The sequence below is a fragment of the Homo sapiens genome, chromosome Y (assembly GCF_000001405.40).
Source record: "Homo sapiens chromosome Y, GRCh38.p14 Primary Assembly".
Taxonomy (NCBI): domain Eukaryota; kingdom Metazoa; phylum Chordata; class Mammalia; order Primates; family Hominidae; genus Homo; species Homo sapiens.
The window spans coordinates 21,380,325-21,394,247 of record NC_000024.10 but is presented as its reverse complement, the minus strand read 5'-3'; the positions used below and the strand labels follow the sequence as shown (position 1 = coordinate 21,394,247).

Genomic DNA, 13,923 nt, shown 5'->3' with positions numbered 1-13,923 from the left:
AAATAGTGGAAAGTAGGTGTTTTGTCTTGGGTGGTACTCATGATAATTTTTTCTTGAAAGTTTTGGCAGTGGTTGTTATAACAGTTTAGTAATAAGTTCTTACAAATAGGAATAATTTAGAATGGTTGGGATTTTATCAGTTTTTTTTTTTTGAGATGAAACATAGCTTTGTCACCCAAGCGGGGGTGCAGTGGCTCCATCTTGGCTTACTGCAAACTCCGCCTTCTGGGTCAAGCTCTTCTTCTGCCTCAGCATCCTGAGTAACTGGTATTAGATAAGTATGCACCACAGCTGGCTAATTTTTCGTATTTTTAGTACAGACTGCATTTCACCATGTTTGCCAGGCCATTCTTTAAAATCCTGATCCATCCTCCTCAGACTCCCAAAGTGTAATCCTAAGATTACAGGCATGAGCCACCACTCTCAGCCTATCAGATTTAATTGATGATATGAATGGAAATGCTTTAAACCTCACACTTTTGGGACAATGAAGTGTATAAAACATAACTGCATAAAGTTTCAGATGGGATTGCTTAAAGGTTTAAGAAATCATCGAATGTTAAAAATAAAAATATTTGGACCTAAATAACTAAACCAATTACTTTTCCTGATTATACAACCTAAAGAAATGAAACACATGAAGTTCCTGAAGTTTTGAAGTCCATAACTTTTACAATTAACAGACTAATCTGCAAGGAAGGAGTATTTTCTTGAGAAAATTTTACAAGATCATCACTTTTTATAGGGTAAGGGTGCAAATAATTTTAAAGGGAGAAGTTACCAACTTCGATTTTTAAGTGAATTATTCATGTTATGAATTTGTGTTTTCATTCACCTATAACATAGGATTGTGAGGATGAAGTGAAAAGATACAACTCCCTAGTCTTGTGTATCTTACTGTCCAGGTGTGATGACTCAGGTCTTTAATTCCAACACTTGGGAAGCTGAGGCTTGCAGATACCTTTAGGTCAGGAGTTGAAAACCAGGCTGGCCAACACCATGAAATCCCTTCTCTAGCAAAAATATAAAAATTAGCCCAGTGTGGTGGCATTTGCCTGTAGTGTGTTACAATTAATTGGGAGGCTCAGGCAGGAGAATCGTTTAAACCTGGAAGGCTGAGGCTGCATTGAGCCGATATTGTGCCATGCACTTTAACCTGGGAGACATTCCACCTTCGCTCTATTAATTATTTTGAGATGTACAATAAATCATTATTAAGTGTAGTCATCCTGTGCCACTGAACACTAGATATTATTCCTTCTAAGCAAGTATAATTTAACCCACCCCCATCCCCTCTTTGATCCCTCGCTTACCAGTTCACATTACTTGTATCAAAATATCACATGTATGCCAAAAGTATTTACAACTGTTATGTACAAATTTTTTTAAATAAGTAAAAAATTAAAAGGGTATCTCCAACAAGGTGATAAAATAGGAGGCTCTAATTTGTTCCTCCATCCACAAACGCAACAAATAAAAAGCCACACCCACATCAATTCCCTATGAGATAAACTCAGAAACTAGTTGAGATACTCTTGCACATAGGATTATGAAAATACTCACTTAAAAAGAAGTAAGAAAAACTGAATCATGATCTTGTTCTAGAATTTGTGGCTGACACATGACCCTAGAGTCAATAGAGAACTGTTATTTCACAGCTTCTCTAAGAGGACTGAAGTATTAAACCACATATGTAATGCCCCAACTGTTACAGCTGCTTCTTAACGAAATGATTGCCTATCCCTGGATTCTAGCACAGATTGGCATTCAAAGCTCTCCTAGGACCTCCAAGATAAAAGAAGGATTTAAGTAGACATTCAAGCACTTCTAAAACTGTTTCCTCCTGGTTTACTGAATCTTAAGCAGTCAAGAAAGCTCAGCTCCCACCTTGTTCCTCGAAAATCTTAGATTGTACATCTAACGTCTTGACTTTTTTTCTTCTTTTTTCTTTTGAGATGGAGTCTTGCTCTGCTGCACAGGCTGGAGTGCAATAGCATGATCTCGGCTCACTGAAAACTCTGCCTCCCAGGCTCAAGTGGTTCCCCTGTCTCAGCCTCCTGAGTAACGGATATTCCCCTGTCTCAGCCTCCTGAGGCACCTGTGACCATGCCAGGCTAACTTTTGTATTTCTTAGTAGAGACAAGTTTTCACAATGTTGGTCAGGCTGGTCTCAAACTCCTGACCTCAGCTCATCCACCTTCCTCATCCTGCCAAAGTGCTGGGATTACAGGCATGAGCCTGCACCCAGCCTTATCTTGACTTTTATAGCTTTTGCCCAGGTATCTTGTTTCTAATTTTGACTTTTGGATCTGTCAAGGTCCTCTGAGAGCAGGCACATAGGCATTTCTCATCAGTCTTCATAATCACTCACTCTAGCAATATACTGAGCTTCTAAATTTTCCTTCCAAGAAGTCGAACTACTCAACTATGGCCTTGACTTCTCAGGTTGCTGCCTAAGAGTTTGCACACTAACTTACCAATCTCTGGAAGCTAATGAATCCCAGCATTTTGTAGTTCCAGGATTCTAAAGAGGAAAAAGGATTGTTTTACAATAACTCTGCATGATTTTTAAACTTGCCTATTGATGTAGTTTGGACATTTTTTCCTCCAAGTCTCAGGTTGAAATATGGTCCTCCACACTGTAAATGACACCTAGTGGGAGGTGTTTGTTTGGGTCATGGGGATGGATCCCTCATAAATAGCCTGGCTGCCTTGCAATGGTTAATAAGTGAGTTTTCCACCGTATTATTGCCACAGTCTAGATTACATCCAAATAGTTTGTTGAAAAGAGCCTTATACCTTCTCCTCTTCTCTCTCTCCCCTTCTCTTCTCTCCACACATGACGTGACTGTTTTCCTTTTATGTTCCATCCTGAGTGGAAGCCTGGTGAGGCTCTCACCAGATGCAGATGCTGGCACCACACATCTTTTACAGCCTGCAGAACCAGGATCCAATGAAAGCTCTTTTCTTTATAAATTTCCCAGTCTCACAGTCTTTTTTAGGAACACAAACAGATTAAGACATGTATCTCTGGTTGATAACTTGCCTATATCAGTAAGCAGTGGAGCTCAGAATTCACTATTTCCTTCATTCCATAGAGGACAAAGAGGTGGTTTTCAATGGTCCCGTGAGCTCTTCCTTAAATCCAACCCTTGGCTTGCTCTAGCTTTCAGCTTCTCCATGGAAGCACCCCAACCTTTTAAACTCCTCCTCCCTTAGGATCGCTATTTTTTTTTTTGAAATTGAGTCTCACTTTGTTACCCAGGTTGGAGTGCAGTGGCGTGATGTCAGCTCACTTTGACCTCTATCTCCTGGGTTCAAGAGATACTCCTGCCTCAACATTCCAAGTAGCTGGTACTACAGGCACATGCCACCAGGCCTGGCTATTTTTTTTTGTGTGTGTGTATGTTTAGTAGACAGGGGATTTCACCTGGTTGGGCAGGATGGTCTTCACCTCCTGACCTCGTGATATGCTCACCTCAGCTTCCCAAAGTTCTGGGGTTACATGTGTGAGCCACTGTGCTCAGCCTGGAGCAGTCTTTCAACTTGCCTGTTTCTGGGGTCTGATGTGACACAACAGGCATTCTGCGATTCTACTAACTCCCTCCCTCTCTGAGAAACAAAAACCTTAACTCACAACTATCCTTAGGTAAGGACACCTTAGTGAATGATTCCATAACTTGCGATTGAATCTGTGACACCTTCTTCGACTGTAGAACTAAGAATAGCCACACAAATAGGATAAAATAACAGTTTTAATGTGATACTTTTCTCCCCCCCAAGCCAGCATAGTGTTGCGTACAAAAAATTTCCCCGGACTCACAGTTTCTTCAGGGAGGAGAGAGTTGAAGGTGTACATTCAGCCTTTTCTTTTCCATTTTGCAATTCTTCACGTGATGTTCTCTCTAGTCTTACCCTGTGGGAAACATTGCGGGTATCAGACAACTGGGGTCAGTTAGAAACAAAGTACATGGATGGGGCTTACAGGGATCATAACAGTAATCTTACCAGTGGCTTTGCATTCCAGCCAGCAGAGGTGCACCGTCAGAGAAGGGAAGCAACAGCATTATTCTGCAGCAACAAACCATGGTTGATGGGTCTGCCAGGCTCAAATCACTGACTAACTGCCAAATCCCACAGTGATTTTCTCTGCAAAATTCCAAGGCTGTGACAAAGAGGCAGCTTGGTGATTATCCACAGAAGGGGCATGTGTCCCCACCCAATCTCAGCTGCCATACTTTTGACCATCCTAGCCCTGTGTGCTCCACCCATCCCCAGGCTGAAAAGCAGAGGCAATTTAGTAGTGAAGGATGAAGTTTCTGGCCCTACCTGGATGCAGTGGGCAAGTAGTTTATATAATAAGCCTTAGTACCCCTGGAAGGAAGATCACTTCTGATATATCTAATGGAAATCACTGGGGCGTTAGAATCTCTAGAGCACATGACTTTATTCAGAAACAGAGAATCCCAGTCTCAGCTCTAGCTCTTCCCACTGTTCAACAGCAGATATCAAGGGAGCTGATTGTCAGTCCTAGGCCCTCTTGCTGCTGGCAGAAAGCTAGCCTATCTGTGCAGAGACCTTCCAGTAACCATCACAGCCAAAATTACAAGCATGCCATTCTGTGTTCCACAAGAGAATGTAAGTGGACACAGTCTCAGCTCCAACCTGACCAATTTCAATTTCCAAAATGGAATTATTAGTAATAAGTGACCAACCAGCCAAAAAAAAAAAGCCCAGAAACTGATAGATTCGGATGAATTCTACCAGATCTACAAAAAGCTACATCATATTCCATTGTGTGGGTGATCCTAGTTTGTTCAACAGGTTCTGTATGTATGCTTACACACACACACACACACACACACACACGCAAACGCAGACACCTATGTTTCATGTTCTCTCAAAAAGCTGCAGTGGAAATGCCAAGCTGGCCTCTGGTATCATCTGAAGGCTCAGTGGGGAAGGACCCACTCCTTTGCTTGCATTACATTGTTGTCAGCAGCCTTGTCCACAATGGCAGTTTTGCAGGGGTTTCTTCCAGCTCTCTAGAGAGCATGCAATTATGTTTATTTACATAGTTTACAATATATTCCTTAGCCTTTCTCTCTAAACTTGAGGCTGAGTGCAATGTCTTAGGTCTGTAATTTCAGTACTTTGGGAGGCTGCTGTTGGAGGATCCTCTGAGCCCAAAAGTCTGGCACTACAGTGAGGTATGATTCAGCCTGATGACAGAGCAACACCCTGCCTCTAAGTAAATAAATAATAAAAATACAACTGATAGTAATATTTTTGTTTTACAGTTTGGAAAACACAAATTTCCTTGATCAAATGTAAGAATATTTGATAATCACTAACACAGCACATTTGCTTGTGCATGGGAACCAATGCAGAAAAGCAGTGGGATTGGATGCTCATTCCCCTTAATGCCTGACACATAAATACTGTGATGATAAGTGGTGAGTTTGGACCAAGAAAGCTTTCTGCCAGAGCCCTCAACACTGTGGAAATAAAAACCTCCACAAGTCAGGAAACAAAACAGTCTTTACTGGTAATAGTAACTGTAAAGCCTTTTGCAGATTTGATTTCATTTTTAATTTAGTGTAGATTAGGCAGCATAACAGACTACCCTGCACTCACTAGTATGTGATTTGATGATAAACATTAAAATGATTTGGTTGTTGAAAACTACAAGAATGTTAGTTAATACCATAGTTACATGAGTAATTTTGACAATATACACTAGCTTATTTTAAACTTTCAGTTAGTCGACTAGAGACCTAAATATTGTTTTAAACATAGTTCAAAAATTCATGTGGATAATGGGCAAAATGGCAAGTTTTTATTTTTATTCATTTCCTGTTGGTTTTATACCTTTCATTCTCTCTTCTCTCCCTTCCTTATTCCCTCCCTCCCTCCAACCTTCCTTCCTTCCATTCTTCCTTCCTTCCTTCCTCCCTCTCTCTTTTTCTCTCTTTGATTTTTTTTGAAGACAGAATTCTGCTCTGTTGCCTAGGCTGGTGTGCAGTGGCATGATCTCAGCTCACTACAACCTCCCCATCCTGGGTTCAAGCAATTGTCCAGTCACACCCTCCTGAGCAGCTGCAACTGCAGGCATATGACACTAATCCTACCTATTTTTTCTTTTTTGTATTTTTAGTAGAGACCAGTTTTCACAATATTTGCTCAGGCTGGTCTCGAACTCCTGTCTTCAAGTGATCCACCCACCTCAGACTCTCAAAGTGCTGGGATTTCAGGCATAAGCCACAATACCCACCCAGTTTTATTCATTTCTCTCTTCAGTGATCTCTCCTATCTATTTTAGTATTTTATTATTTGTTTTTATTTCTGAGACAGAGTCTCACTCTGGTGCCCAGGCTGGAGCACAGTGGCATAATCTTAATACAGGGCAAACTCTGTCCCCAGGGTTTGGGATAATATGCATGGGCCACCAAGGCTGGCTAGCTTTCATATGATATTAGACATGAGATCTTGCCATGTTGTCCAGGCTCGTCTCAAACTCCTGACATCAAGAAATCTGCCCACCTTGGCCTGCCAAACTGCTGGGAATGCACCTGTGAGCCTCTGTGCCCTGCCTCATATCTGTTTTAAAGCTCAGTAGATAAGCAATATTGTCTTCCTGGAATGCTTTATGTTCACAAAAAAACTATAACACTATTATTTAGGTCTTTCGGATAAAGTATGGTAACACACAAAACATACACGCACAGACACAGACACAGTCAGTGATCAAAAAATCAGTGTAGGCCACGACCTAAAATGAAAGGTGAGCTGCTGCAGTTGCCTAGAATTAAACCAGACCAGAGTTGACCCATACCAGGCCGAGAGATGTGAACAGAGGCTTTCCAAAAGGTCTATCAGATACATGTTAGATTATTCTCCAGCCATAGCAAAGGGACATTAAAGATCTGTTGTGTTTTGAAGAGTCTTGATAGTTTGACTTTTCCAGGGTATTAGCATTCGTGACATTGGCCTTTAAAGCTCTCCACAATTATTCAAATCAGTAGACAACTCAGTTTTTCTAGGAGTCTAAAGAGCTTTTCAAAATTATCTAAAATGTAATGGCTTAAAACAATCATTATAATTTACTAACTCTCAGTCTCTGCAATCTTCCGTAGTCTCTCAGCCAAATGATTGTGGTTCAGGGGCACTCAGGAGGATGCAGTCTAGTGATGGCTCAGGATGGGGACATTGTCAGTTGTCTTCCTGTCTCCCTGGTTCCATGGCTAGCATGACTCAAATAGCTGGGGCTGGAATGCTGAGATCCTTGGGCATCTCCTATTTCTATGAGTCTTTCCATGGCATGTCCCTTCTGTATAGTGTTATCAGGGTGTTAGACTTCGTGATGTACTGGTCCAGGGCTCTCCTAAGGGGTTTGTCCCCATGAAAGCAGGAGACTTAGGCACAGCTGTGTCACCTTTTCTAGCCTACGCCAGAGGTGGCCCAGTATCTAGAAAATGCTTGCCCTGTTTTCTATTAGAAAGCATTAGAAGCAAGTACTATGTTCAGTTACATCAGGAATATTTTCAAATGAGTTTGAGAAGAATTTCAAAGTGTGTTTTAGACCACTACAGTGGCCATGCCTAATCAATAATTATTTTTGTAAGTGCTGGATGGGTTTTACCCAACACAATAGCAGATACAGACTTTTAACCTTGAAACCTATATGTCATAGCTCTGAACATTTGGTTACATGTATAAATAACTCTCAAGCAAAAATAGATTTTGAAATGACAGCTATAAATAAATAAAATAAATGAGATAAAAACTCATAAATATCTGGATGAAATGCTTGTAAACATGTCAGCCTTAAAAATGTCAAGAGGTCTAACGTGCCACTATTTTACTATTTCTATGGATATTACTTGGACAGGAGGACAAGGACTCAGGGGTCTGCTGGTCCATCTCTGCACCTTGAAACAGCAGCTGGGGCACCAGAAGTAACCCTTACAGCCAACACCATGTGATGATGAGGAGGAGTCCATCTGGGTTAAAGAGGTTGTGAACATAATGTGACCTGGAGGAGAAGTACACCTGGTAGGGCGACTAGGATCCAGGGCTCCGACACACATTGAAATCCCCCATGCCCAGCTGTAGTGGAATGAATCCCTCAGCTTGTGCTGGGCTTCCAGGTATGTTCAGGAAGCAGCTCCCTGGGCTGAAAAGGATCCCCCCCCTTCACTTGCCATGCAGGAGTGTGAGGCTTGTGGCCTCCACTCTGTCTGTTCCAGCTCTTTCCCTTCCCATTATCCCGCTGCTGGGTAAGGTGGCAGGACCCCAGAATGTAGAAGGGCCCTGGGTTGTTGACAGTGCCTGTGGATGGCCATGTACTAGGAGGAGAGTCCCCACTGAGCCTCCCATGAGCTTGGCGGCTGGGAAGGAACAGTCCTGGGGCACTGGCTGGTCCAGAGTCCAGGGACCATTCCCGGAGAATGCCGGGGGATGTTTTAAGCCTGTGGATCTGCAATCTAGGTGGAAGAGCTGTATCTGCCATGGCTGACATCATCAGGGCAAGACACCCACTGGGTGGAGAGTTGGGCTTATGCATTTTACCCCTGTCTTGAAGAGACCATGCATGCCTGCCTCTCCTGGGACCAGTGATACTGGAGACCCCCCTCTGGGTCCACTCATGACCATAAGCTTAGGATGCGGTGTGCCTTGCTTCCTATCCACCCAGGTGAGGCATCCTGGAGAGGATGCGTGGGGCGAAGCTTGTGTGCGCACATGAAGCACTGGAACTGGGTGTCACCGGCCTGTTTCTGAGCTACCACCTGACTAAGTGATAAGTGTCTCATCTACCTGACCCCGCAGCCCGGGTTTCTCCTCCACCTGCCGACCCATGCCCTCTTGGGGAGAATGCCAGCCTCCCTGGAGACTCAGGCCCTGCCGGACCCACATGCTGTCCTCCTGTCTCATGGGCTGGGCACTCTCTGGTGCACAGGGATTCCCAGACAACGAATCCCAAAGCCCCTCAGTTTCCATTGCTTCTTCCCTGAATGCCCCGACTGAACACACAGGAAGATAGAAACAGCTGCTAGGTTTCATTTCCCTCCGAATGTCATTTCAGGTCCATGACATCTCCTCTATGTAGCTTACGCCAGCCACCCTTTTCCTCCTCCCTCTGCCGTTTGGAGAACCATGAGGACTCTGCGTCTCCCTAGCGCGCAGGCTTCTCAGGTCCTGAAGTTGGATTGCGAAACCTGGCGGCTCCCTGTTTCCCAGCTCAAGAGCTGAGTTTGAGGCACACCTGTGGGCAGGAGTGTGTCCCCCAACAAACCAAGGTACACAAAGGTACACAGGCACAGGTGTGCACACTCGTGCACCAGCTCAGACACGCAGGTGGGAACATGCCCACACTCACACTGGTATGAGGGAAACTGGGTGTCTACACCAATACTCAGGTGAGCCTTAATGCTCAGCCACATTGCTTCGCTGGACACACACAGAAGGTTCCTTGCCATTTAATTGATCATCTACAGTGGGATTTATTTTTACTTTTATACTTTTTTAATTTACCAAAGTATGTTGCATTCTTTCCCCCATCATGAAAAAGACTGATACAAGTAAGGAGGAAGAGCACTTTTCATAACAAATTACTTTATCTGCATCTATAGTATTAAGGTATTTTACAAATTTTATGTCTGTTTTTTAATGTCATAGGAAATGTCTCAGTGCTGGGGAAGCATGAGTGAGGGTGGCAGAGGGAGAAAGCATGTCAGGGGACCCTGGAGTCATTGAAACAGAACATGATAGGACTGGCCACTCTAGAAGGACGTAGACCTGGGTTTGCCTCCTGTGCACCTCTGCGTGGAGGGTAAGAGGGCCTTAGTTGAGCCTAACTGAGCCCCAGGTGTTAACAGGCCTCAAGGCGTGGAAGGGACCCACGTGCACCAGCTAGGTTTTGTTTCCCTCCAAATATCATTTCTGGTCCATGGCATCTCCTCTAGGTAGCTTGAGCCAGCCACCCTTTTCCTCCTCCCTCTGCCATTTGTGAGAACCATGAGGACTCTTCGCGTCTCCCTAGCGTGTAGGCTTCAGGGGTCCTGAATTTGGATTGCCAAACCTGGTGGTGCCCTGCTTGCCAGCGCAAGAGCTGAGTTTGAGGCACATCTGTGGGCTGGAGTGTGGGCCCCCCCAAACCAAGGTACACAAAGGCACACAGGCACGGGTGTGCATATGTTCCCATTCCATCTCCCTTCTGGCTCACCATCCATCTGCTGACAACTTCCACTCAATGAAACCTTGCACTTATTCTCCAAGCCCACGTGTGAGCCAAGGCAGGAAACCCCGGGATCCAGAAAGCCTTCTGTTTTTGCGGTAAGGCAGAGTGTCTTATTGAGCTAACACAAGCCGCCTACAGATGGATAAACTAAATTAACATCGTATAACACATGGCCGCTGGGGATTCAGGAGCTGTAAACATTCACCCCTAGATGCTGCCTGGGATCGGAGCCGCACAACCTGTCCTCATTGCTCTCTCCGGAGGCCGGGCAGGAACCTCTGCCAAAGCTTCTACCTCAGCCGCTGGCAGGCCATGCGGCCTGGGGCATTCACGGAGTTCCAACGAGTCTGTTACTGGCTGGGGAGTGCTGGGGCCAGGGCATGGCCGTGCCCGCTGATCCTCCTCCTGCCTCTCCATATCGGACTTCTCCTCGACCACCACCTGGACCACTGCCACGATATCGTCCACAGCAGCACCTTCTCCTCCCCCTAGGGCGCCTCCACGCTCTGTGCCCTGGCTGTCCTCTCCAGCAGAGCCTCCAATTTGAACGGGGTACACTGTCCGCTCCACGTCTGTGTAAGTATATCCTTAAAATATACTTAAAAAAACAAAAAAAAACTTAAAAGCGTTCCCATTTCTCCACATCCTCTCCAACATCTGTTATTCCCTCACTTTTTAATGATCGCCATTCTAACTGGCATGAGATGGTATCTCATTGCGGTTGCAGGGTCATGGATGAAGCTGGAAACCATCATACTAAGCAAACTATCACAAGGACAGAAAACCAAACACCGCATGTTCTCACTGATAAGTGAGAGTTGAACAATGAGAACACATGGACACAGGGCAGGGAACATCACCCACCGAGGCCGGTCGCGGGGGTGGGGGGTTGAGGGAGGGATAGCATTTGGAGAAATACCTAATGTAAATGACGAGTTGATAGGGGCAGCAAACAAACATGGAACATGTATCCCTATGTTACAAACCTGCACGTTGTGTACATGTACCCTAGAACTTACAGGATAATAAAACAAAAAAAAAAAAAAAGAAAAAAAAAACCTTAAAATTAAAAATAGCTCTCCAAACCCAAATACTAAATAGAAAATGAGAATCAAGTGGCCTAGAATGTAACTTAAATGAAAATGTCACAAACATTCAGCAGATAGTTTCTAAATGCCACAATAAGCCTGGCAGTCTGCAAGAAGCTCAGAAAAACACTGTTTCCTTGCTATTTTGAGTGTGCAGTAGAAACAGGTACAGAGATAAATGAGGAATAGTAAGTGTGATAACTGCTGTAATAGGCAAATACAGGCAATATAACTGCAAATAAGGGCAACGATTTTGATAAGCAAAACATTAATAAAAGATGAAACATTAAAAAAAGACTCATGATTTTAATAAACATTGCCTTCTTCACTCCAGAAGAAAACTCATGCCTCTGCTTTACTGGTTGACATGTTCTTAAAGAGATGTAACAGCTCTGATTTCTGTTACTAAATCACATTTTCGTCACTTATGAAACACAAGTTTAAAATTCCTTTTGAAGGTCAAATGAGAATATTTGCTGTTACTGGATGAACTGTCAAGTGCTACCCAAATATTATTTTCTCACAGGGATTGATATCATGTGTATGTCATATGGTCAATGTAGCATTCTCATAAAGGAAACCTTGAAATGTGTCTGCTGCTCATTTTTGATTTTTCAGCTGTTTCGGTCATTGTTATTTATCATATGCTTCCTAGGGGCTTTTGAATTTTAATCAGAATATGTAAAAACCGAAAAGAGAAGGACAATGAAATTGCAAGACTACAGTCATAATAATTTCATTGATTAATTCAATTGTTTATAGAGCAAGATTACATTATATTTCTCCCAAAAGATTCTTGGAGAAATTCTAAGATGATGCACCCAGTGTTTGAAATGGCTGTAAAGTTGTTGCTTAAGTTAGAGCTAACTCTTTTTAGAGCATGAAGATACATTAATAGTTTCATGTATTAAAACAGAGAAAATAGGATTTTTAGTGCTAGTTGCTCTCACCAGAAATAATCATAGCTTTTAAACTGTTCTTTATGTCAAAATAAACTTTTCATTTTCCTACCTCATGTTTTGGATGTGGCATGTATTTTTAAATGCATTTTCACCCTTATGTGCTTCTGTGAGAAACTGTGGATTTAAGTTCATATCATGATTATCTTACAGCTTCACTTGTTGTTCCTAAAGGTTCACGGAAGTAAAAAATTCCATTTATGCTTGTATCTTTCAGCAACCTCATTTCAGATAACAGTGCACATTACTGCAGAAATCACATGATTCAGGTCCAAAGGAAGAAGAAGAAGAAAGCAAGTTTTTAAGTCTATACATTTGTAGCACTGTATCAGAAACTCCGTAGTCATAGTGAAATAAAAAAGTGATCACAGTCAATTCCATCTCATACCTAGACTGAAATAAGAACCTTCAAAAGAAAAGAAAGTTAAGAATTTTGGGCTTGTCAAAATTTTCCTATATAGATAAAATTATTGGTGACTTTCTCTCACTAGAAAACATAAACAAAAATCCATGCTTTATATATGTATAAATAAAAATATTTTTATTTCTATCAGTTGCGACATGCAAGCAAGTAATAAAGTAAAAGTATAATAATAAAATGATATAAGGAGATTTCTCTGTGTAAAAGAATTCCATTGATACTATTAATTTAAAAAAAAACCATAGAGAAACTACATGGCTGCTTTTTAGTACTACTACTTTTTAGTATTTTACTTACATTTTAAATAATCAACAAATTAAAGGAAATTCTTAATAATTGTTTATTACCAACAACATTATTCTACTCGAGTAATCGTTTGAGATTACATATTTTAAATAAAACATTAAAAACAAATTGTATTGAGTGATATTAGCTTTCGATGAATTAATACTTCTGTATTTGTAGTCATGTGAAGTATAAATTTCTCCTCAAAATGGATCTTTTATAAAACCAGTGTTAATGTTTTCTCTGATACAAACTCTGGGATTTCTCATGGCTTTACTATATCCATACATTACATGCTTCCAGAAAGTAGGATTCAAACAGATGGAAAAATTATATTTCTGACAAAATTCTAGGAAAGGGAATGGTAAAATGGGAGAATAATTTCTAAATTTCTAACTGTTGATCAATGGATTTGGATACATTTAGATGTAGACAAATATTTACACACTGCAAGTTTGCACTTGTGCATATAAATTTAAATGAGATACTCATATGTATGGGTTGTGTAATCTTTGAATTAATCCTCAATTTTACACGTGGGAAATTTGACAAGAGTTTACCCTTATCAAATACTCAATTTGAAGTACTATACTCAATTTGATGTAAAGCTAACAAAATCTCTGTCAACATCATTTCAATTAATCCAATATTGTTAACTGCTGATAGCTTCATTCTCCTTGTCCCCTGTTGGTAGCCTGAAAGCTGATTCTCACTCTAATTCAGCACTCAGGTTCCCATCCACAAGGGACTGTCAGCTTTCTGTGGATTGTGACCTCTGACTCCACCACTTTCGTCCTATAACAGTCCTACCTTTGCATATTTAATGAACTTGGTACATGGTTAAAAAGATAAAAGTGCAGTGAAATGTCAGGCCATGCTGTGAAATGTTCCATTGTTTCTATATCTCTAATTGACCTTTCATGTTATAGA

At 41.9% G+C, this 13,923-nt stretch overlaps 1 long non-coding RNA gene across 1 annotated transcript in view; it reads left to right on the top strand.

Moving 5' to 3' along the window:
• The window catches only part of PRORY (PRORY Y-linked lncRNA), a 69,942-nt gene extending 57,599 nt beyond the window's left edge, over positions 1–12,343 (top strand). Inside the window, exons 2-5 of the long non-coding RNA NR_170372.1 lie at positions 7,892–8,016; positions 10,279–10,335; positions 10,452–10,816; positions 10,968–12,343. This is a non-coding gene — a long non-coding RNA (PRORY Y-linked lncRNA). The remainder of the gene's footprint in view (positions 1–7,891; positions 8,017–10,278; positions 10,336–10,451; positions 10,817–10,967) is intronic.
• Positions 12,344–13,923: the final 1,580 nt, after the last annotated feature.